The 23,856-nt window shown below is 42.0% G+C and overlaps 1 protein-coding gene across 8 annotated transcripts in view; it reads right to left on the bottom strand.

Moving 5' to 3' along the window:
* DOCK2 (dedicator of cytokinesis 2) overlaps positions 1–23,856 on the bottom strand; it is a 446,108-nt gene that overhangs the window by 313,517 nt on the left and 108,735 nt on the right. For all 8 annotated transcript variants that reach the window (NR_156756.1, NM_004946.3, XM_011534449.3 and 5 more), the window contains exons 23-25: positions 22,362–22,470; positions 10,091–10,161; positions 8,241–8,347 (exon numbers count right to left, since the gene is read on the bottom strand). Coding sequence is in view for 7 of the 8 variants with exons in the window: in NM_004946.3 (NP_004937.1) it covers positions 8,241–8,347; positions 10,091–10,161; positions 22,362–22,470 (287 nt within the window). In the remaining variant the exon portion in view is untranslated. The remainder of the gene's footprint in view (positions 1–8,240; positions 8,348–10,090; positions 10,162–22,361; positions 22,471–23,856) is intronic.

Below are 23,856 nucleotides of genomic sequence, written 5' to 3'. Positions count from 1 at the left end.
TCCCATAAACAGAGAATGCTAGAATGATATGTCAAGTGTCATGATGGAAATTTGTACTCTGCAATGGGGGAGCCATGTCCTTGCCCACACTGCTTTCCTTTCCCTCCTCAGGCTCCTGGAGCTGTGTCTCCCATTTGAGAGAGGTCAAGGGCCACCTGCATCCAAAGCCCCTTGGCGGGCTGATACCATGCACATCCCTGGCCTCCTCCCCAGATATTCAGAGTCAGAATCTTTGGAGTAGGGTCCAGGATTCTGCAATTTTAGCAAACTCCTCAGGGACATCTAAGCTTTGAGGTTAGATGCGTTGTTTTGCCCCCTTTGGGAATCAGGGTAATATCTGCAATGTATTCAACCCTCTACTTTCACATCTTTCCCCATTCATCAGGTACCCTGGCAGCCATTCTCTTTCTACCATCCCAGGGACAGAGATGAGGACAGACTCCTCAGAAAGGAAGGCGATAAGATGGAGAGGAAGGGTCAGCTGCTCCTTCACCTGGCATTGAGACCCAAAGCCACAAAATTTGTGTGTACCAACATCCCCTCTGGGGCTAAAGTCCCAAAGGGAGTCATTTTAGATAAACTGAGGGAAACGTCAAAACCTGTGCCTTTCTTCCCCTTCCTATTTGAGTTCCTAGGAGGGTGGGGACTGTTTTGAGTCAGAAAAACTGGTTAAATCTAGAGCCATAAGATACCATGTATTGAAATTTTTAAGTTGCCACAGCACAAAGTAGAGACTCAAAAAGAAGATTAAATTAGATTAAAAACAAAAAGAAGCAGCTTCATTTTCTTTGCACAGAGATCACGGTGCAGAAGTTTGCAAACTCGTCACAATTGTATCCACATTGCTTCCCCAGGGACTAAATGTTGAATGGAATTGAGCTGAAATGCCTGAGACATCAGGGAGGACTTACTGCAGGCTTGAGGTCTACTTTGGTTCTTAAAGGGATGAGTAGGAGTTGCCTGTTGAGCATGGCTAGGGGTTGAGGTAGGGAATGGGAGGCAGTAGAAGGTATTCCAGGCACTATATGCAATGAACTGAATTTTGCAAGGGCATGTAAGGTACAAAGAGAGATGACAGCCCCACTATGAGGCTAGAGCACATCCTGAGAGGGAGAGGCTTTGTTCTCCTAACTGCCTTTTCCTTCTGAACAGTCTCAGAAGCAGAGCCTCATGTCAACATTCCAAGTCTTGGGCAGCCTGCTAACACCCCGGCTTGCTGCAGGGAAGCTGTGCCCTGAGAAGCCACAGGTGACACAGCAACTGCTGGCAGCAAGAGCCTCATCCCCCTCCCAGGCAAGGGTCCCTGTGCACACCTGTCAGAGTTCATGTATAGCCTGGCATTTGGAACAGGAGTTGGGAGCAGGGAATGGAAATAAACAAATCCTTCAGGAGGAATGGTGAGGCACTTGTTCTCACATGGAGAAGGAAGAATTACCAAGTCAATACACCACTATTTTCTCCTTTTTAGTCCTCATAAGAATAAAGCATAGTGAGAAAAAGGTGGGTTCTGTTATTCAAATGACTTGCACTCAGAATCAGCTCCAGCACTTACTACCTGTGAGCCGTAGAGACAGCGCTCATCAAATATTGCATGTGCGTGTGCTTCGTTTACATCCCAGATTCTCTGGTGTTAGCACATGTGATGTGTTCTGGCCAATGGACTGTGGGTGGAACTGGCAGAGCACATGTGATGTGTTCTGGCCAACGGACCGTGGGTGGAACTGGCAGGTGTCACTTCCAGGCCAAGGTCATTAAGAGCCACTGTGCTCCTTCCCTCCCTTCTTATCTTTCCTGCTACAGGGAGGCCACATGCACCAGCTGGCACAACTTCAGGAGGGACAAAAGGCATATGACCTTCATCAGACTTTGCACAGGAGAGAAATAAACCTTTCCATTATCAAACCACTGAGATTTGGAGATTAATTTGTAACCCTAGCATCACATAGTCCAAAATATTAATACCCTAATACGTTGTGTAATATTTGATCTCACTGGAATGAAAATTACTTAACTTTCTAGGCCATTAGGTTTTTGTAAAAACTTAATATATATTTATGCTGTATGTAATACCTGATACAGAGCTGGCATTTGATAAATATTAAGTCTCTCCCTTTAAGTTGCTGTTGATGTCGTTACTATTGTTATGGTTAGTACTGTTATACAACAGACAAAATAGATGCATTTTAATAAGCAGCAGCTGGGTCTCTGGCACTCTGCTAGTTGCTTTTCATAAGTTATCACATTTCTGTAGCTAAAGAAGCTACAGCTCAGAGAGGTTACTTGTTCAAAGGAACACAGCTAGCATGCAATCAAGCCAGGATCCAAAATAAGGATATCCTGACTCAAAGGTCTCTTATTCTATGACACTCCTATTCACATTTTTCAAATTTTTCTGACATGGAACCCGAGGCTCAGAGATGTTAAAGAAGATCACCAAAGTAATAACCACTAGAATAAAATCAAAAATTGACAAGTGGGACCTAATTAAACTAAACAGCAAAAGCAACTATCAACAGAGTAAATGGACGACCTACAGAATAGGGGAAAGTATTTGCAAATGATGCATCTCACAAAGGTCTAATATCCAGAATCTAATGAACTTAAACAAATTAACAAGCAAAAACAACAACCCCATTAAAAAGCGGACAAAGGACATGAACAGACACTTCTTAAAAGAAGACATACATGCAGCCAACAAGCATATGAAAAAATGCTCAGCATCACTAGTCATTAGAGATATGCAAATCAAAACCACAGTGAGATACCATCTCTCGCCACTCAAAATGGCTATTATGAAAAAGTCAAAAATTGGCCAAGCGCAGTGGCCCATGCCCATAATCCCAGCACTTTGGGAGGCTGAGGCAGGCAGATCGCCAGAGGACAGGAGTTTGAGACCAGCCTGGCCAGCATGGTGAAACCCCGTCTCTACTAAAATACAAAAGCCAGGCACAGTGGTGCACCTCCCAGCTACTTGGGAGGCTGAGGCAGGAGAATCTCTTGAACCCAGGAGGTGGGGGTTTCAGTGAGCTGAGACCGCACCATTGCACTCCAGCCTGGGTGACAAGAGCAAAACTCAGTCTCAAAAAAAATAAATAAATAAAAAGTCAAAAATTAACAGATTCTGGTGAGGTTTTGGTGAAAAGGGGATGCATATACACTGCTGGAGGGAATGTAAATTAGTTCAGCCATCATGGAAAGCAGTTTGGAGATTTCTCAAAGTACTTAAAACAGAACTACCCCTCGACCCAGGAATCCCATTACTGGGTATGTATGCAAAGGAGGATAAATCGTTCTACCACAAAGACATTAACATTCATAAACATATGCCTGTGTATGTTCATCACAGCTTTATTCACAATAGCAAAGACGTGGAATCAACCTAAACACGCGCTGATGGTGGACTGGATAAAGAAAATGTGGTACATATACATGATGAAATACTACGCAGCCATAAAAAAGATTAAAATCACATACTTTTGCAGAGCACTGATGAAGCCAGAGGCCATTATTCTAAGCAAATTAACACAGGAGCAGAAAACCAAATGCCGCATGTTCTCACTTATAAGTGAGAGCTAAACATTGAGTTCACATGGATGCAAAGAGCGGAACAATAGACACTGGGGCCTGCTTGAGGGTAGAGGGTGGGAGGAGGGTAAGGATCAAAAAACTGCCTATCAGGTCTATGCGTATTACCTGGGTGACAAAATTATCTGCACATGAAACCCCTGACATGAAATCAATTCATGTAACAAACCTGCACATGTTCCTCATGAACCTGAAATAAAAGTTGAAAAGAAAAAAAAGGTAGTAACTGCTAGAGTCAGAGGGTTGTTTATTCCTAGCCCAATGCTGCAATGATATGTTGATTAGAAAAGATATAGGCACAATTATTTCCATCCCTCTTTTCCCCAACCGTTGTCCAGCCCCTTGTACACTGTGAATGGGGGACCCAGCATCTCCAGATACTGTGGGCAACAGATGAGAGGGAAGAAGGAAGCTAAGCTTTAATAAAAGGGAAACTGGATGCTTTGCTCAAAAAACAGCTTCTCAATAAAGTTCCCAGTGAAAAAAACCCACCAGCTGAAAATAAACATTGAAAGAGCTTCCAAATCTCTGTCAGGTGTCTGTCTCTCTCTCTCCCTCTCTCCCCCCTTCTTCCCTCTCTCTTTCTGTCAATCTCTCTCTGTGTTTGTTTTGGAAATTTGAAGAGAAATCTCTAGCAATGTGGATCCTAAAGCAGTTTACACTGAACCAGATGGTGCCTCTGATTAGCATCAGACTAAAAAGACACATTTCTTGGAGATGAGGTTCTTGTAGGGACAAATCTGTTTCAAAGGCACAGAGGGTTTGCTTTTCTTCTAGACTCCTCTTGGAGCTTTCTCCGGGCATATCTGTGCGTCCTTTCTCCTGTCATCACCACCAGGCAGGTCTGAGCTTGTGTTGGAGAAGACAGCAAATTAGTGTTTGTAAGTTTCTCAGTTCTCCTCTCACTGAAGCCTGAAGTCATCCACAGGGAGCAAGACATTCCATGTGGGAACCTGGCTGGTGATGACTCCTTACTCCTGCAATTCCTAGGCTAACTAGCCACATGTGCCACTGATGAACAAGCAACCCAAGGGGACCCATTCTGTGACTATTCCCATTTTACAGATGCAGAAATTAAGACTTACAAGGATTAAGTAATTTACTCAATATCACAGGTCAAATCAAAGTTGAGGCTAATTGCCTCCATAAAGAAAACAAGGAAAAAACTGTGTGTGGGGTGTGTGTGTGTGTGTGTGTGTGTGTGTGTGTGCGCTAAAAGAGCCCTGAGGGGTAAATCATCAGAGAGGATAGCTGTCAAGTGTCCAAAACTATGTAACTATGTTGGAGCCTGTAGTAACACAAACAATGAAGTGAGAAATCACAAATATTTCACCTTGACCTCTACTTCTTCCAGGCATATGTAACATGGCCCCTTTACAAAAACATTCTAGGGCAATAAAAATTGAAAACAACAACAACAACAACAACAACAACAAACACGTTCAAAGTCAGAATGGAGAGCATGTACCAACCAAGGCCCTTTTATTCATTAGGTCCTGTGTCTCTCGGACCCTGAGGAAAACCATGTAGTTGAGGGTTGTGTGCAACTATCAAACGTTAAGGGATGCCCTTATTGCAAGGAATTTAAAGGTCAGCACGGAAATTGGGATCAGCAGGAAAAACAACCACAACACCAATAATAACAATTGCTGTTTAGTATGAAACATTATGCTGAGCCCAGTGCTGTGTCAAGTACTTTAAATGCATCATCCATCTCATTAGCCCACACTATCACCCTCTAAGACAGACGTTATTGTTCTTATTCCCACTTTCCAGATGAGCTTACTGAGAATCAGAGAGGTTTAGAAAATTACCCATAGTCACACAGTCATGTAAAAAGCTGAACCAGGAAGTAAACTCGGGTCTAGTGTGACCCAAGAACCACCGTCCTTAACCAGTAAACCCTTCTCCACCTTCTCCATAGGATCCTTCTGATGACAGGCCAATAGGGTAGTCTGCCAAAATCCCAGAAAGTGCTTAAAAGCCTTCTGGTCCCTCCGCTTAATGTCAATACAAATGTTCAAGGCTGTGAGTACAAGCAACTGTCACTGAAAATACTCCAGGCAATTTGCACATCTGGCAGTTAAATGAGTGCAGGCTCAAAGCAAATCACGTCCCCGAGGCACAGGACACTTCACAGGGAGAATAACAGGAGGAATTTCATTACTGCTCAAACTTGGCCAGAGGAATCACACTCACCTTATTTAAGGGTATAAAGAGAGATGCTCACCCGAGGTCGATGGACACCTAGTAAGCATAATGAATTCAGGTTTTATTCATTGGGAACTTGAGGATTTAAGAAAGGGGATGAGCTGAAGTTTCCCTTTGGGACTATTTTGGTAACAGGGCTCACTTAGCAAATAGATGGTGGGAGAGGAGTTACCTTTCAGCTGTGAATAAGGTCATACGACTTTCACATGTGAGCCGAGCGTGGCTACACTAATTACACTTTGCCTCCTCTTTGAAAGGGGTCCCCAAAGGATACTTTGTCTACCTCTAGTCTCTGTATGTATTTAAAGGTAAGAATTTTGCTTTCTTTTTTAACTGTGTACAACGCCAGGGCTGGCCTTCTGTCAGTTAATATTAATCAGAGGGTTTCTACTGAATCTGAAACCCAGACACACAGCAGGACTGAGAAGCAGCAGCTGTCCAGCCTGCCCTGCCATGATGCTAACCCTCAGAGGCCTCCTCCCAGCCCTGGAGATGTGGCTGCAGTCAAGGAATTACTCCGACTTCCAAGAGGCTGGAATTGACACCACATGCCCAGCCCAGGCCCGTGCTAGCACTCCATCTGGCCTTGATGCCAAGCCGGGCCCCTGACAATGACAGCAGCTCTGAACAATGAAGAAGAGCCAAGCAGCCCACTCCCTGCTGCCTGTGCCACACCATATGCGTAGCTAGAGTCGTCCTTGTCATGTCTCTAGGATGGGACTCAATTTGCCTCTGCAGTGGCACCACCTGAAATCCTGAGAGGGGCTTCCAGGGCAGGAAGGGGCAGACATATTTCAATGCTTTTGGGGTGAGGGAAATTTATTTGGAGGTGGAAATCAGAACTTTAAAACCATGGAAGTCTCACTTTAAAAAGGCACAGTGACACAAGAAGTGCAACAAGACTTACCAGAATTAGTCTCCATAACCTCACAAAAACCACCTGGCTCAAACAAACTACATATTTATTGGATTAATCTGTTGTCACATATCTGTCTAAAGGGTCAGGAAACCACACACATAAATATTAAAATCACAAGAACATTTTCATCCCCACATCCTCCTCCTACCCTTAACTCTGGGGAGAGGATACAGACAGCAATTTTGGATGCACCATGTTAACCAGGCATTGGAAAAAAACATCTTTACAGTGAAGTGGTTCCTGAATATTTCTGTGATTACCAGGCAATTTGCATAAATATTCAGGCTTCACTCCCTGAATAAATTCCAGTTGGGTGATGGCTGATCCTCTGAATTCTAAGACCCTTTGTTTCTTGCACAGTTTGCTTCGCATTTTATTATTGACACCAGTGTGGATAGAGAAATTGAAAATTGGAGAGGCTGGGTCTTAGGATACAGAAAAAAGTACTGACCCTGAAAAGTCATTTCTTCACCCTTACAGAAAGGAGTGAAGGAATGCAGTTTCTGAACAGGTCATTCTTTTACATGGAGCAAAAGGCATGATCCATTTTGAAAATCTAGGCATGCAGAGCATTCCTAGAGATGAGGTAGAGGATGAATATGAGCTTCTGAATCCTGCCTGATCAAATCTGATGGAGCTATCGACATCCAGTTGACTGACCTTGAAAATAGGGAACTCTAAGTCTTCTGCCAGTGGGGCCCAGTGGTGACCAGTTTAGGGTAAGCAGAAGCTCTGAACATAACTTCTGTGCAAATCCACTGTCATTCCATGATCTCCCAAAAATATATACCATTAAGTGAAGAAAGGCAAAGTGCAGAACAGTTACATAGCATGCTACCATTTGCATGATAATAATAAAGAGTATATAGCATATACGTAATTGATTCCACATCCACAGAGTGTGCCTAGAAGCAAACACAAGAAACTGGATATGCCTTTTGCCACAGAGAAGGGACTGGGATTAGCCATGCACAGGGTCTGGAGGGACCATTTCCACATGGTACCCTTTCATACCTTTTCATTTTCATCCATGTAAATGCGTTACCTTTTCCAAAATAATTTACATTTTTCTAAAAACTTTAAAAAATGTTAATTCCTACTCAATTAGACTCTTCGAGCTAGGTCTCAGGAATTAGCATTTTAATAAGCTCTCCAGTTTATTCTTACACACTCAAAATTTTGAGAACTTCCCCGTGAAAGGCTCTTTCTACTAAAAGGAACTTTATCCATTTCCCTTTGAGTTAAAGACAGCAATAATAAACCATACAGGGGGAAAAAAAAACCTCATTAAACTTTCTCAAGAGAAATAAACAATGCAACCTCAGCTTTCCTAAAATCAATTTAGATTCTGATATCTAAGTTGTCAGCTACTTTCTACTTTTTGCATTTATGCAGACCAAGGGAGTTGTGAGAAAAGAGATGTTATAGTCACTGGACAGGTTGCCCTCTCCTGCCAAGCTTCCCCAAAATGATGTGGGGTTTATTGGCCCCTTACCCCACCCCAGCAAGGGTGCTGTGTACTCACCTTGCTTTTTAAAGAGGTTGCTCTGGACTATCTCATTCATAGACTGTACTTTCTGCTTCTGGAGTTTCACAGGAGGGATGCAGGTGTAGAACTCATACAGGAGTTGGCTGAGGGCAGGAAAAATAGGAGCTGGTAGAGCAAGGCAGACCCATGTCTCCCAGCTCATAGCACTTACAGTCCATCCCTGGACCTCTAGCTCTGGGAAACCCCCAAGTCCTGGCAGAGCATGAGGTGCAAGGTAAGCCTTCAGTAAAAATGTACAAGTTGTTCTTGGTATAGAATATTAGTAGCATTAAAAGAGACGTAAAAATCTGAAAATACCCATAGCCCTGAGCAGTTACCGTGTACCAAGCACACACTTTGCATTTTGCATTCATTATGCCATGTAGACTTCATAACTCTACAAGCTATATACAATACTTATCCCAATTTTATAAGTTAGAAAGCTCAGGTTTAGAAAGGCTAACTTTTCTAAGGTTATGCAGCTAGGAAGTTAAAGAAACAAGAGTTCAAAACAAGGTTCTGACTTCATTACCATACCATTTTACTTACAAATGTTTTATGCTTGGTAATGCTTTATGATAAGTCTTAAAATCAAAATCTCTAATTTTTTTTAAAACTATGAAAAATTGTGGATTAGAACCAGTTTGGGACATCAAAAGGGAGATAGCTCTTCCCAAATAGGGTGAGAATCAAAATACCCTGAAACAAAATTATAGTCCTTGTCGGCTTTCCAAAATAAACTTATTGTATTCATTTATTCTTTCAAGGACTTATTAAACATCTACTTAATATGAGACAGGCAAAGCGCAGAGAAATGGGGATATAATGGGAACAGACTGGGTCCCATTTGGCATGGAACTTACATTCTAATAGAGGTCATCAAATGACACAGAAGCAAACAAATCAATACACAGCGATGTATGCAGTGGAGGAAATAAATAGGGAGCTGTGTCAGAGAATAATGGCACAGGGGCTGGGGGAGAAATTTAATTTATTTACAATATCCAGCAGTAGCTTTTCCAAGATAACATTTAGCCTGAGGGTCTGAAGGATGAGAAGGAGCTAGCAAAAATCTTCCATATGAACAGAAAAAGGACATCCATGAAAAAACTGGTAACATCTGAATAAAGTCCAGAGTGCAGTTAAAATAACTGTATCCATGTTAATTTCTCAGTTTTTATAAATGTGCCATAGTTATTTAAATGTTAACATTAGGGGAAGCTGGGTGAAGGGCATATGATAACTCTCTGTATGTAATCTTTGCAACTCTCTTCTAAATCTATAAGTATTTAAATATAAAAAGTCTTTTAAGTCTGTTATCTGTAAACTACAATACATTTTTTAAAAAGAAGAAGGTATATCTGATTGAAATGCCCCTATTCCAACAGCATAATCACATTAAAATAACGTGTTCATCTATGAGCTGAACGTAGTTAAGAAGTAGAAGGCAAAAGGGAGCTGTCTCCATTATCTCTTTAGGTATGCTTAGGCTGTTCTCCATTTGCAACTGTGGGGTCTACAAGGCAAAGAGTGGAACCCAAAATAACCTTCAGGCCCAGGTGAAATGGAAACATTCATCTCAAACATCAATTTTTTTTAACCTATATGATTAATTTTCATATCATCAAAGAGGGATGCTTATTATACAGTTGGTTTTCACCAAAGTCTGGCACAAGAAAACCAAAAGGTAAAAATACCACACCGGAAACCCTGAAAACATCCCCTGCCACAGGTCTTCCCCATCCCCAAGCTGAGTGCCCATCTGGAGCTCCCCATAAGAGCCCTCCTCCCACTCTGAATCCCTAGCTTGCCAGCAGAGCCCAAGAAAGTACAACATGAGCTCTCACCTGAGTAACTTCGCATCAAAGACCATTTCTACATCATGCAGGACAGATGGGATGTATTTCAAAGCCGCCACCTAGGTGGAATGTAAAATACATATAAGTGATCCTCACATCAACAAGTCTGTGCTGGCAAAGAGGGTACTTTGCAGCATGACACAGATCAGAGGAGAATGATTCTGCATCCTGGACATTACAATATTGATGGAAGCCTCTGTATGGACATCAAAACATAAGCACGGACTTCTTTGTATACAAAAGTGAAGTCACAACTCCTGTCTTCAAGGAGGCAATAACATAGACTAGAATGACCACAGACCTTGTAGTTCTATAGATCTGCAAATTCTGTTTCCACACCTTATTAGCCATGAGGCTTTGGACAAAACACTTAACCTCTCAGACATTTACTTATCTGTGAAATAGACAAAGTTATATGTATTCTGAAGGATTGCGAAGATTAAAAATAATATATGTGAGGCATCCAACAGAGCACCAGGCCTATTTTAGTGCTCAATAAATGGTGACATATTATTAATGGAAGATGGTGTACTTGAATTGCTTTGCTGGTGACAAGTTATTCATATTTCCTCTCCCTGGCCACTTTGTGAATAATAGTGGGTATGTTTTGGTCCACTAGCTGGGTTGGGAAAGCTGAGCATTGTAGTGGATTGCTTCCTCTCTTAAAGTAACTGATGCATCCAGAGATAGGAGCCACACTCACCCCCTGCATAGCAACACCACTTGCTAAGCAGCAGGGCAGACTACAGTTTCAGTAGAAAGAACTGTAAGTCACATGAATGGAAAATAATGTGTAAGGGTCTAATGGAAGTATGCATTTTTTATTTATTTTTCTGTATATTTTAGGTGTTCTGTTACTAACATGTATCACCCTTTAACAATCAGACTCAAGTAAAAAATCGTGAAAATTACTTTCCTAAAGAAAATCTTCCTCCTAGCCATATACAACTGAGATTCTTAACATAAATAATGATTATGATTATTCTCTAAGAATTTACAACAGGGCAGAAGCTGTACCAAAGACTGCTAATAGATTAGCTTATTAGTTACAACCCTGCAAGGGAAACATTATTTGCATAAATAAGGAATCTCTGGTGCATCACAATTAAATAACTAGCCTGGGGTTGAAAAGTTAGCAAGTGGAGAGCCAGGATTCAAATTCAGGCAGGCTGCACTTAGAGCCATTTCTCGTAACCCTTAAGCTACATGGTCACCTTACTCAAATAGCAACCCTCTCTCTCTCTATGCCTTCATCCCTTTTTTAATCTTGTTTATAATTTTTAAATTTTAAAAAGTCAATACTCTATGTTTGATGTAAAAACATTCATACCAGATAAGGCATGAGGGTGAAAATTGTTTCCAAAGTCCTATATCGCATCCTCCTCTGGGTCCCAATCTCTCCTCCCCAGAGAGGGGAGGACCACTGTTAGTTAACATTGTGATGAATTTCCTTCCAGACTGCTTTCTATGCATGAACCTACATGTGCATGTGTGTGTATGTAAATATACATGTCTGCAACTTGCTTTTTGTAGTTAACTGCACACCAGTGGCATCCTGCCTTCTCATAGAGTGGATTCTTTTCATTTCTAACCACTGCCCAGCACTGCTCAAATGGGTACATTATACCTTCTTCAGCCCACCCCTGATCATAGGCTCCATGCTATTGTCAATTTTTATTATAAATACGTGGTAAAAAAAATACTGTTTGTATATCTGTAAAGATCCTTGTAGGATAGATTGTTCAAAGAAGAATTAGTGCATGAAAACATATAGACATATACATTTTAGGAGAGATTGTCAATTACCTTGGAAGATACAGTAACCAATTTCCTTTAATTGACCATTTCCCCATAACCTTGCTACCATTGGACATACAATCTTGTAGATTTTTGTTGATCTGATGTGTAATTTGCAACTTTTTGGTGGCTAGTATGGTTGAGCATCTTTTCCATATTTATTGAACATCTATATTTACTAAATTGCATGTTCATATCCTTTTTCTATTCTTATTTTGGGTATTTTTTTCTTATTGGTTTTTAAAATTTTTCATGCATCATTAATAGTAACCCTTTTACAGTAACATATTTTACAAGAATTTTCTCCCACTTATCCTGTTGTTCCATTGCATAGAAAGATTTTAATTTGCAGGCTGTCATATTTGTCAGACTTTTACTTTATGGTTATTGGATTTTGTATCTAGAGATTTATTCTTTATTCTTTTAAATGTAGATTATAAGATAAAACAACATTCCAAAGCCATTGTCTCTGAAACTATGTTCTATTGGAGCCTCTTGTCCCATAGGATGGTGCTAGGTATTCTGTAGGGGAAAAGGGTTCGCAATCAAAGAATTTTGGAAAGCATTGGCTTAAGCAAAGATAAACCAGTGAGTTTTTTTTTAACTATAGAACTTTTCATAATTTTAATATGCTAAGAAGCATTATGACATTCCTCCAGGCAGTCACAGTATCCAGTACATTCCAACCTAGTTGGTCAAGGACCATCTTTATCAGGAAACATCAAGCAGATGTAGCAAAATCAGATGACTGCAGGGCTAGACAAGCAACAGAAAGAAGTGATATGGAATGAGGACAGGGCAGTGGGAAGTGATGAGGTGTGTGGATTCCATTCTCTCCCTAAAGACTCAGTTATTCCTATCAATTGTTTTAACACTTTGATTTAACGCTTTGATTTGCTAGACAAATCAAACACAAATGCAGGCTGCATTTCTCCCAGAGGCTACTAATTTACAACCTCTGAAGTCTAAAGGGATACCATATACTGAGGCATGTGCCCTGAAAAGAGGCTAGTCCAAGCATTTCATTTTTTTTTTTTTTTTGAGACAGAGTTTCACTCTTGTTGCCCAGGCTAGAGTGCAATGGGGTGATCTCAGCTCACTGCAAACTCCACCTCCCAGGTTCAAGCGATTCTCCTGCCTCAGCCTCCTGAGTAGCTGGGATTACAGGCGTGTGCCACCACGTCCAGCTAATTTTGTATTTTTAGTTGAGATGGGGTTTCACCACGTTGGTCAGGCTGGTCTTGAACTCCTGACCTCAAGTGATCTACCCGCCTTGACCTCCCAAAGTGCTGGGCTCACAGGCATGAGCCACCATGCCTGGCCTGGTGCAAGCACTTCTAGCAAACTGTTTCTTCATCCACTCTTAGGCCAAAGAACATACAGCCCTCAGGGCCCTGAGCTCTCCACCCAGCACCGCATGAGCCTAGGCTCATTTGTTCACTCCTTGAGCCTCAGCCTCTTCATGATGGTGTGTGCTGAGTTTCTTCCCATCTCATTACTCAAGCACTGGCCATCATACCCCACACCTGGACAGATTATAACGCGTACTCATCATAATTAAGGCCAAAGTGAGAAACATGCACAGAAACAAACCCCTGTGGGGAAAGGCAGGACTTCAGTGTCTGCTGCGAGTTGCTGGCTTTCAAGAGCTGCATGTCATTCCAGGACTTTGGAGGGACACGATGGAACCGCAGTTATCAGGAGTCTCCACAGCCCGCACACTTACATGCTTTAGCTATTAGCAGGCAGCTGCACAGGCTGCGGGAGGGGCTGCTCAGAAGAAGCCCATCTTCCCAGCCTCCCACTCCAGGTAGGCCATACAGTCAAATGAAGCAAGTAGCTGTCACCTGAGTCTCAGAGGGTTTTAGCAACATGACAGGGGAGTATTAAATTTGCATCTAGTCCAGGCGGCCTCACAGAGAAGTGGCAGGCCTGTGGTTCTTTTTCCCAATGGGGACAGCCCATCTCTGCCTACTGAAGTTTGCCAAGACTGTTGTCACGGTCAGCATTTGTCAGAGGACTTCTGTCTATGGTCTTGCCCTGACACACTGGGGCAGGTGACAACAGGCAAGTTCAGGAGGTGCCAGCACCAAACGCTCCCAGAAGGCAGAGCACCTCAACCATAAGACCTATGGGAGACTCCATATGTTACATGTTTCTATCCTGGGAACTGAGTTTCACTCTTCTATTATTATTATTGTTTTTAATTTATTTATTTATTTTGAGACGGAGTCTCACTCTGTCGCCCAGGATGCAGTGCAGTGGCACAATCTCTGCTCACTGTAACCTCCACCTCCCAGGTTCAAGCAATTGTCCTGCCTCAACCTCAGGAGTAGCTGGGATTATAGGCACCCGCCACCACGCCCGGCTAGTTTTTTATATTTATAGTAGAGACAGGATTTCACTATGTTGGCCAGTCTGGGTTCAAACCCCTGACCTCAGGTGATCCACCCGCCTCAGCCTCCCAAAGTGCTGGGATTACAGGCTGGAGCCACCGTGCCCAGCCGTTCTATTATTTTTACTCTCATTATTACTACCATTCTTCATAAAATAATATTGTATCATTATTACTTTCATTCCATAGTCTATATTCCTATATTGTGTATAATACTTAAAACACACATACATATATATACCTATACACATAAACATACATGTGATGCATATACACACATACTCATATAATACGATTATGAATTATAGGGTTTTTAAGTGGGAATCATGGCTGGGCATGGTTGCCCATGCCTATAATCCCAGCACTTCAGGAGGCCAAGGGATTGATCACTTGAGCCCAGGGTTTCAAGACCAGCCTAAGCAACATGGCAAGACTTAATCTCTACAAAATATATATATGTAAAAAAAATACCCAGGCATGGTGGCACAGGCCTGTGATCCCAGCTACTCAGGAGGCTGAGGCAAGAGGATTGCTTCAACACAGGAGCTAGAGGCTACAGTGTTCTGTCTTTTGCCACTGCACTCCAGCCAGGGTGACAGACAGAAACATTGTCTCAAAAATAAATAAATAAATAAATAAATAAATAAATAATAAAAAATAGGAACCATTATTGGAAACTGTTTACATGCCAAATACTTTACATGCATGATCTCATTTAATTCTTTCAACTACTCTATGAGTGGAAAATGTTAATCCCATTTTACCAATGTGAAAACTATGGCATGGAGAAGAAGTTAAATAACTTGCCAGAAGCCATGTAGCTAATGAGAAGCAAAGCAAGGATGTGTACCCAGCTCTGTCCTGCTGGCTGTTATCCAGTACGTCCACTACTGCCTGTCATGCTGTAGGAAAGGCATTCTATCTCGGCAAGTGGGGAGGATTCAGCAGGGGCGAGAAGGCTAATTTGGAGGAGGAAGTGGAAAAAGAGCTTCCCCCACCCTTTGTAAGAATAGTTTTTGAAAATAAAGTGCAGTTCTTCTGACATTCCTTAAGTTAAGGATCCTCATTACCACATCTATAGGGGGTTGCAAGAATGGCCAACAGGAAAATGCTATCTTGCTAATTAGGTGATCATGTGGCACTGAGTGAATTTCCTAGATTAAGGGTCCACTCTGAACCCCTCTGCCAAAGGCCAGGTACATCCCTCAAGAAGAGAATCAAACCCAAAGCAACCAAGAGTGGTTTTACTGTCCCAGAGGTAAATCAAGGGAGGACACTTGAGATCATTGCTATCTAGATGGACTTCACCAGAATTAGAAAACGGCAAGTGTTTAAACATAACAACAAAAATCAAAACCAGACTAGGATGCCTCCAAACTCAGAGGGACTTGTCTGCTGAGTGCTTTCAGGCTTTCCTGTTCTCTCTTTCACTCTTTCTCTCTCTCTCTCCTCCCTTTCTCTCTCTTTCAAACAGAGTGACCAGTGTTGGTGCCAGTACACTCAGACTTCTGGCCAAAATGAACATGTCTTGAAATGATACACAGTTATGCAAGAATGCTACCAGATAGCTTCCTCATTCAAGAGCCACAGGCATTCAAAACAAGTACTATTCCCCTCAATTTTTAATCCTTTTATTTTAGCCAAGCAGTGGATGATCAAGGTCCATAGAAACTGGAAAAACGATGTCACAGGAATTCCCCATAGCATGACCATAAGAAGGCAGTTTCCTTTGAGATGCTGAGTTGTCCCCGAGGAAAATAAATGCAGCTCTCTCAGGACATTCAGTCTCATCACTAATCTCTCAGGCAAAGTGAAGGGAAAGGAACCAACAGGTTCCAGAATATGTGTGTTTCCATCCTTTCTGTAACTCAACTTTATGGGGTCCCCTGAGTCTTATCCACCTGGGGTTTTGCCAGAAGACTTTAGTCTTAATGAAATTGCGCTATTGTTTGGTGGTGATTAAGAACTCAAACTCTGGACTTACACAGCCAAAATTTAAATCCAAGATATACTAATTTTCAGCCAAGGTAAGTTACTTAACCTCTTTAAGCCTCATTTTCCTCATTTGGAAAGCAGAGATAAAGCCCATTTGTCTTTGCATATAGTCTTTATCTCCGCTTTATACCAAATGTTCTCGCTCATAAGTGGGAGAGCAAGAATAAGAACACAGGGTGGGGAACAACACACAGGGGAGCTGTCAGGGGGTGGGGGGGGGTGAGGGCAGGGAGAACATCGGGACAAATAGCTGATGCACGCAGGGCTTAAAACCTAGATGACAGGTTGATAGGTGCAGCAAACCACCATGGCACATGTATATCTATGTAACAAACCTGCACATTCTGTGCAGGTATGTCATGGAACTTAAAAAGACTATTTGTCTTATAAGGTTGTTGTTACAAAGATCAATTGAGCTAACAATATATGTAAAGCTTTTAGCTCAACACTTGACACTTAATAAACACTGAAACATCAAACTAAACAAAATGATAGAAGTAATTATTTTATTTTTAGATAGAGTCTTGCTCTGTCGCCAGGCTGGAGTGCAATGGCGCAATCTCGGCTCACTGCAACCTCCACCTCCCAGGTTCAAGCAATTCTCCTACCTCAGCCTCCCGAATACCTGGGATTACAGGCACCCGCCACCACGCCCAGCTAATTTTTGTATTTTTAGTAGAGGCGAGATTTCACCATGTTGGCCAGGCTGATCTCAAACTCCAGACCTTGTGATCCACCCTCCTCGGTCTCCCAAAGTGCTGGGATTACAGGCGTGAGTCACGGCGCCCGGCAGTATTTATTTATTTATTTTAAGAGACAGGGTCTTGCTTTGTCACCCAAGCTGAAATGCAGTGGCATTATCACAGCTCACTGCAGCCTTGATCCCCTAGGCTCAAGTGATCTTCCTGCCTCAGCTTCCTGAGTAGCTGTGACCACAAGCATACACCACTAGGCATGGGCAGGCCCCCATGCCTAGCTAATTTTTTTTTTTTTAATTTTTTGTCGAGACAGGGTCTCACTATGTTCCCCAGCCTGGTCTTGAACTCCTAGGCTTGAGAGATCCTCTCACCTCAGCCTCCTAAAGTGCTGGGATTACAGGCATGCACCATTGCACCCAGCCATATTCATTCATTCATTCATTCAGACAGTAGATATTTGAGCACTTTCTGTGTGGCAGCCATTGTTCCAGACATTGGGGATATAAATGGCAGAGTCCCCTGCCCTCCTGGACACTCCAGGGGCTTCATTAGCATAAGTGGCATTCACAGTGGCCAAGAGAGCATGTCATTCAATACAAGCTGTTCATTTAATTCCACTTGTGCCATCAAATTGGAGCATTATGAAATACCATGGATCGTAAGGAGAGTGGGGCAAATTGGCCTGCACAACATCGCCATATGTCTTTTACTAACTTTTGAGCTCTATCTAATTTACATGTGTGTGGTGTTGACCCTCTGAATCTGCCATCAGTTTTATCAACCACGCTCACAGGGCTGGCACACACAAGGACTTCTGAGCATGTGGTCCATTGTTGAAAACACATGGGAATCCCTGGCCTAAACCTTACCTGTGGCATAGAGAATAGTGCTTTGGAGGCAGATGACCTGGATGGATTCAAATCCTAGCTCCAGCACTATGAATACATGTAATTTGGGATGAACTATTTAACTTTATGAGCCTCCTATGAACACTGAGGATAGTGGTTCCTTGAAGATCTCTGGTGGGATTTAAAACACTGTATATGAAGATCCCAGTTCCATGTCTGGAACATGGTAGGTACCTGATCAGCAGAAAGTGTTTTTATTGCTCCTTTCCTCTGAACTACTGGCTTTCAATTCTCCGTGGTCTTGGTGAGCTGCTGCCACGCCGACTCAGAACAATAAGAAAAACCACAGAAAGCAACTCACAAAAGCTGGGTGAGCATTAGAGATGGGCAATAACTTGCTTAGGTTTCAGAGTTAACAGTGGACACAGCTGAGATTTGAACCAGATCTGCTCTACTCACAATTAAATTGGTCACAAAAGAGGGTTTCCAACATAAGCCGCTACCCAGCTGGATGTGAAAAGTTTGAACCAGGAACATCAACCACGGGCATTCATATCCTCTGCACCCAGCCAGCACTTATGGCTGATGTTACTAATAGCTCACACCCCATGCAGGCTCAGAATCAAGACTCCGGTCACCTCGTACTATTTCACTAGCTGAAACTTTCCCATGCATGTTTTCATACAGTCACTTCTTGTGGGTTTATTCTCTTAAGAATGTATATTTATATTTCTTGATCTAACTGAATAACTGAACATCCTAACACTATTTAGTCTTGTGTAACAAAATTAGGAACACAAATGCCCGCCTTCTGAATCCTCACTAGTAAAATACCCAAAAAGCTTCTGTTTTATGATGAAGTAAAGGAGGAAGAGGTATAAATGATTAAAAAATGATTTAAACCAAACTATGTAACAGGCTTTATACTTCAGGTTTCACATATATTACTTTATTTCACCCCCTCAATAATCCCCTAAATTACACATTTGGCCTTCCATGTTACAGAGGATAAACTGAGGCCGAGAAAGCTGAAACGATGTGCCTAAGGCTACATGTCCACATCTCTCTGGTCAAAAGCCAAAGCTCCCTCTCCTGCAGCAAATCTCAAAGTCTATAGAAGAGTCCTTGTGTGGGATTTGCTGACATCACATGGGCTTGACACCTCTGCCCTCATCATTAAGTTCTCTTCATATGGTACTGCTCTCCATATTAGAATGTAACTTTAAATTCTTCTTCGATAACTTTTCAATAGCTATGTAAATAGGTGGAAAGCATCATTGGTTTTATGAAAATCCCTGAGGCTAAATTTGACCCTTAGAGCAAATTGAAAAAGAGATGAAGCCCCTTTCTATGTCTCTGGAGTGGAAATCTATGAGAACAAACCAACAAACCTGGCCCAAATTATAAGGAAAGCAAGGTATTTCTAACACAGCTACCCAGACAAGAACCACCTGGGTAAAAAGACTTATGCCAAAACCATAATAATCATATTAGTTCACTGCATTTGCATAGCATTTTATAATTTGTTCTTTTGCAGACAATGTTTATTTGATCCTCACCCACACAATGAAATCTTATAGATGAGGAAACTGAGGCATTGAGAAGTTAAGTGACCAATGTAAGGTCATGCAGCTGATAAAGAAGGGCATTCCTATTGACCAGGTGTCTTGAGAGCGGCAAATGCTCACTTGTTCCTCTTTGCTTCCTTTTTTTCTCCTTCTTTCTTTCCCTGCCTTCTTACTGTCTCTCTCCCTTTGTTCCTTCCCCAAATATATGTGTAGCCCATCGTAGGGAAACAGGTGCTGAAATTAGAAAGAGTAGCTCCAAAATTACCTATTCCCTCTTCCATTCTTCTCTCCATGGCACCTCAACTTCTTTGGGGCATCAGCGCCTTTCTCCTCTGGGATGAGAAACTGGCTTTATCTATTGGCTCATCATTTCTGCTCTTTCACACTTCAGCTTCCTTGGAGCTGATTTCACACCTGATTCAACCCTATAGCCTCTCTCATGGCAATTGGTCATCCTTGGCTCTCTCCAGATATCCCAACACTGTGTGGCTACTCACTAGAAGCTCAGTTGCTTCCAGTGTGATACAGATGCAGTGGCTGGCTGGGGCTCCTGCCGCATCTCCTCATGCTGTCCCCTGCTCCTGTTATCCCCTTAGTCAGAGAATGATGAAGGGGTTAGGAATATGAGGAATACATTTTTTGTTTGTTTGCTTTTTAACCAGGAGGGGGTAAGGGAAAAATAAAAACTAGAAGACTGCAGTCCCAACTAATCCATAGGAAGACATCCATCCCCAGCAGGGACTAAAGAAACAGTATAAAGAACAGGCTAATGCCGTGGTAGTGAGTATGGTCTTTAGAGCCAGGCAGGAACAGATATGAATCTGAGCCATCCCACTTCTCAGCAATGGTGCCTGGAGGAAGCTGTTTCAACTGTCTGAGCTTCAATTCCCTCATCAATAAAATAGAAACCTTAAGACGTATCCCTAGTGTTATACATTAATTAATTCAACAGATATCTATTAAGCATCAACTAATAAATGATTATTAGTTGAAGACACACTAATCATTGTGTTTTCAACACTCAGAATAATCCTAATATTAGGATTAGAGAACTCATATGATTATTATGGTTTTGGCATAAGTCTTTTTACCCAGGTTCTTCTTGTCCGGGTAGCTGTGTTAGAAATGCCTTGTTTTCCTTGTGATTTGGGCCAGATTATGCTGGTTTCTTCCCATAGATTTCCACCTCAGAGACATAGAAAGGGGCTTCATCTCTTTTTCAATTTGCTCTAAGGGCCAAATTTAGCCTCAGGGATTTTCATAAAACCAATGATGCTTTCCACCTATGTGTATGGCTGTTGAAAAGTTATCAAAGAAGAATTTAAAGTTATGTTCAAATATGGAAAGCAGTACCATGTGAAGAGAACTTAGTGATGAGGGCAGAGGGGTGAAGCCCATGTGATGTCAGCAAATCCCACACAAGGACTCTTCTATAGACTTTGAGATTTGCTGCAGGAGAAGGAGCTTTGGCTTTTGACCAGAGAGATGTGGGCATGTAGCCTTAGGCACATCGTTTCAGCTTTCTGAGCCTCAGTTTATCCTTTTATAACATGGCAGGCCTAATGTGTAATTTAGAGGATTTTTGAGAGGGTGAAATAAAGTAATATATGTGAAGCATGAAATATAAAGCCTGTTACATAGTTTGGTTTAAATCATTTTTAATCATTTATACCTCTTCCTCCTCTATCTCATCATAAAACAGAAGCTTTTTGGGTATTTTACTAGTGGATTCTAGAGGAGGGTATTTATGTTCCTAACCTTGTTACATAAGACCAAATAGTGTTAGGACCTTCAGTTATTCAGTTAGATCAAGAAATACAGATACACATTCTGAGGAGAATAAATTTTAGAATTATCAGGATTATTCTGAGTGTTGAAGACACATATGAATAAGATAGTTGCCTTCCCCAACACACAGGTTTCCACTGTTTGTTAAATTAAAGGAAGCCATCAGCAGAGTGGTTCTCAAACTTTGCTTCACAGTAAAATCACCTGGGGAATTTTTTAAATCCCCTGGCCTGGGTCACACTCCATACCAATTAAATTAGAAAGTCGGGTGGTTGTAACCAGGCATCAGAATTTATTAAAGATCCCCACACAATTCTAACGTGCACAGTCTGGACCCATAGCATGAGAAGCAAACATTCCCCAGGCTGACTTCCACCTCTGCTTCCTCACCTTCATTCTAGCTAAACACTAGTACGTCATTAATTCTAACCAGTGCCTGGGCATCTCAGGCATAATGGATCTTTAAATTAGCATCTAAAAGAATAATATTGATTTAAAAAAAAAAAGCAGCAGCAATCTGCATTAACTCATTGATTTAGATAAATGTGTTTGGGCTTCGTTTATTCACAGCACATCAGGCACTCCCAGCTTCCCCCACCCGCACCCCCAGTGCCTGCAAGTGCATTCTGTGAAAGTTCTGAAGTCTCCCTGAAACAGCCTCTTCATTCAGACTCTTAGCTGCTCAACTCCTTCCCAAACACAGGGATAGGCCTCACAGTTTCTCAAAGATTTGCAGTCTTCACAGATTAGCATCGTGGACCACACATGAGAGGACTCATTCTCTCCAAAGCACCTCTTGTTTATTGAGGAGCCCTCTTTAATCCCAAAAGGGTCCCTGACTTTATGTTGTCGAGAATTAAACTCAGTTTAAGAGACTGCTACCATGAACTGTTCTCTCCATTGGAAGTGGATCCGGTTTGACTAATTTCCTTCTAGGTAACAAAAATTTCAGAGCTATTTTAAAAGAAGGCACTGCTAGCTTCATGGGTAACAAACAATAAATACGTTTTCTCTTGTCCTGAGGAGCCCTTGGTCTTTAACCTAGTGGCCAGCCCAGGCCTTCACTGGATACAAGTTTGCATATTTAAGTAAAAGAAGATATTATCTTAGCATGCTGTTATTTACTGGATGGCCAAGGAGAAGATAGATTTTATTGTAGCATAAACCAACCTGCAAAAGGATGGTAGTTTTGTATTGACTTTTCATCAGATTGTTGATGGATTCAAAGAGCCGTCTCATGGATTCTTCAAACTCCATCTGTTCTTTGCCTTCATAAAGCCTGAAACAAGATACATCTGGGTCATTTCTCAAGCTAACAGACAATACTTTTAAAAGTGTGTACTAGGCACAAACTTCATTTAAAATTTAAAACAAAAAGGAGTGGGAGGTGGGGACTTCAAGGAGGAGAGGATTCTGCAGATGCTGCGTGCATCATTCTCTCAAGGGAAAAGCCTCATATCCACCATACCCAACAGAAACCCACCAACTAACAGGGCATACACCTTCTGCCGTATTTTTTTAAACCCCAAGGAAACCCCAAAGGAAGGAAATTTGTCTGAGCTGAGGAGACATTAATAATTTCACCCTTCTGCAAGAATCAGAGGAAAGATTGTGATCATCAGATTTTCAAAGTAACTTGGAAATATCAAGGAGAAATATTTTCAAATGCACTGCCATTTCCGCCACCCATTGTCTGTTTGTCGGATGAGCCCCAACAACCTGTTTTATGTCAGGGGCCATTGCTTTCCCTTCCTTCATTTCAGGAGTTAACTTATTACCTTAAGCCTTTGTTTCTCTGATTATAAAATCCCTACACTGTAAAACATGTAAACCTAACTGAAATACATAACTTAGAAGGTGAGACTCCTCATTAATCCAACCAGGGAGGTTAGCTATTGTCAAAGTTTTAATGGGTATCCTTCTAGGGACTTTCAATGCCTATAATAATATACAAGTGTAAAATTGCATAGAACCAGTCCCTCATGTAAAACCAGTCTCCAGGTACCTGCCTGTTATCAACCCCTTCCCCCAGCCTTAGGAGTGTTGCTCTGCTCAAGGCTTCTCCAAACAAATGTTTATCACCAACCGTGAAATATCCGCAGCCTAATCTGTGGCATCCAGTGTGAAATGCACAGAAGAGTGCTCCTGTCTCCAATTCAGATAAAGAGAGTCTCTCCTGTCACAGCCCTACACGCTCAAAAAGCTCCTCAGTGTGCCCGGGCCTTGGCAAAGGTGCTTTCCTAGATAAAGCACTGACACACTTAACAGGTTTGTTTGCTCCTCAACCACAGAGCAGGCCAGCCAGTCACAGCCCCCTCAGCACTGTCTCTGCAAAATCCCCATCCTTCCCCTCACCCTTCTTTCCCGTCTTTCTACTTCATTTCTGTGGCTTTAAGTGTGTGCCTCTTCTGTTTATCTTCTTGAGTGTCAATCACTCTCTTTCTCTCCTTGGGTTTCTATGTCTTTATATCTAGTTCTCTCCCCACCCTCCCCCTGACTTCATCACTCTCTTTCTGTCTTAGTCACTCTCTGTCTCTCTTTCTTTCCTTCTTTTTCTAACTAACCCCCTCTCTAAAGCCCTCCTGAAGTCAGAAGCATAAGTGAAGTCAGTGCTGAATGTTCCCGTTGGTTATGGGGACTCAGCAATTGCTGCTGACCTTCTGGG

The sequence above is a fragment of the Homo sapiens genome, chromosome 5 (assembly GCF_000001405.40).
Source record: "Homo sapiens chromosome 5, GRCh38.p14 Primary Assembly".
NCBI classification, from domain to species: domain Eukaryota; kingdom Metazoa; phylum Chordata; class Mammalia; order Primates; family Hominidae; genus Homo; species Homo sapiens.
Note: the sequence above shows the minus strand (reverse complement) of the source record. Positions and strands in the feature narration are given on the sequence as shown.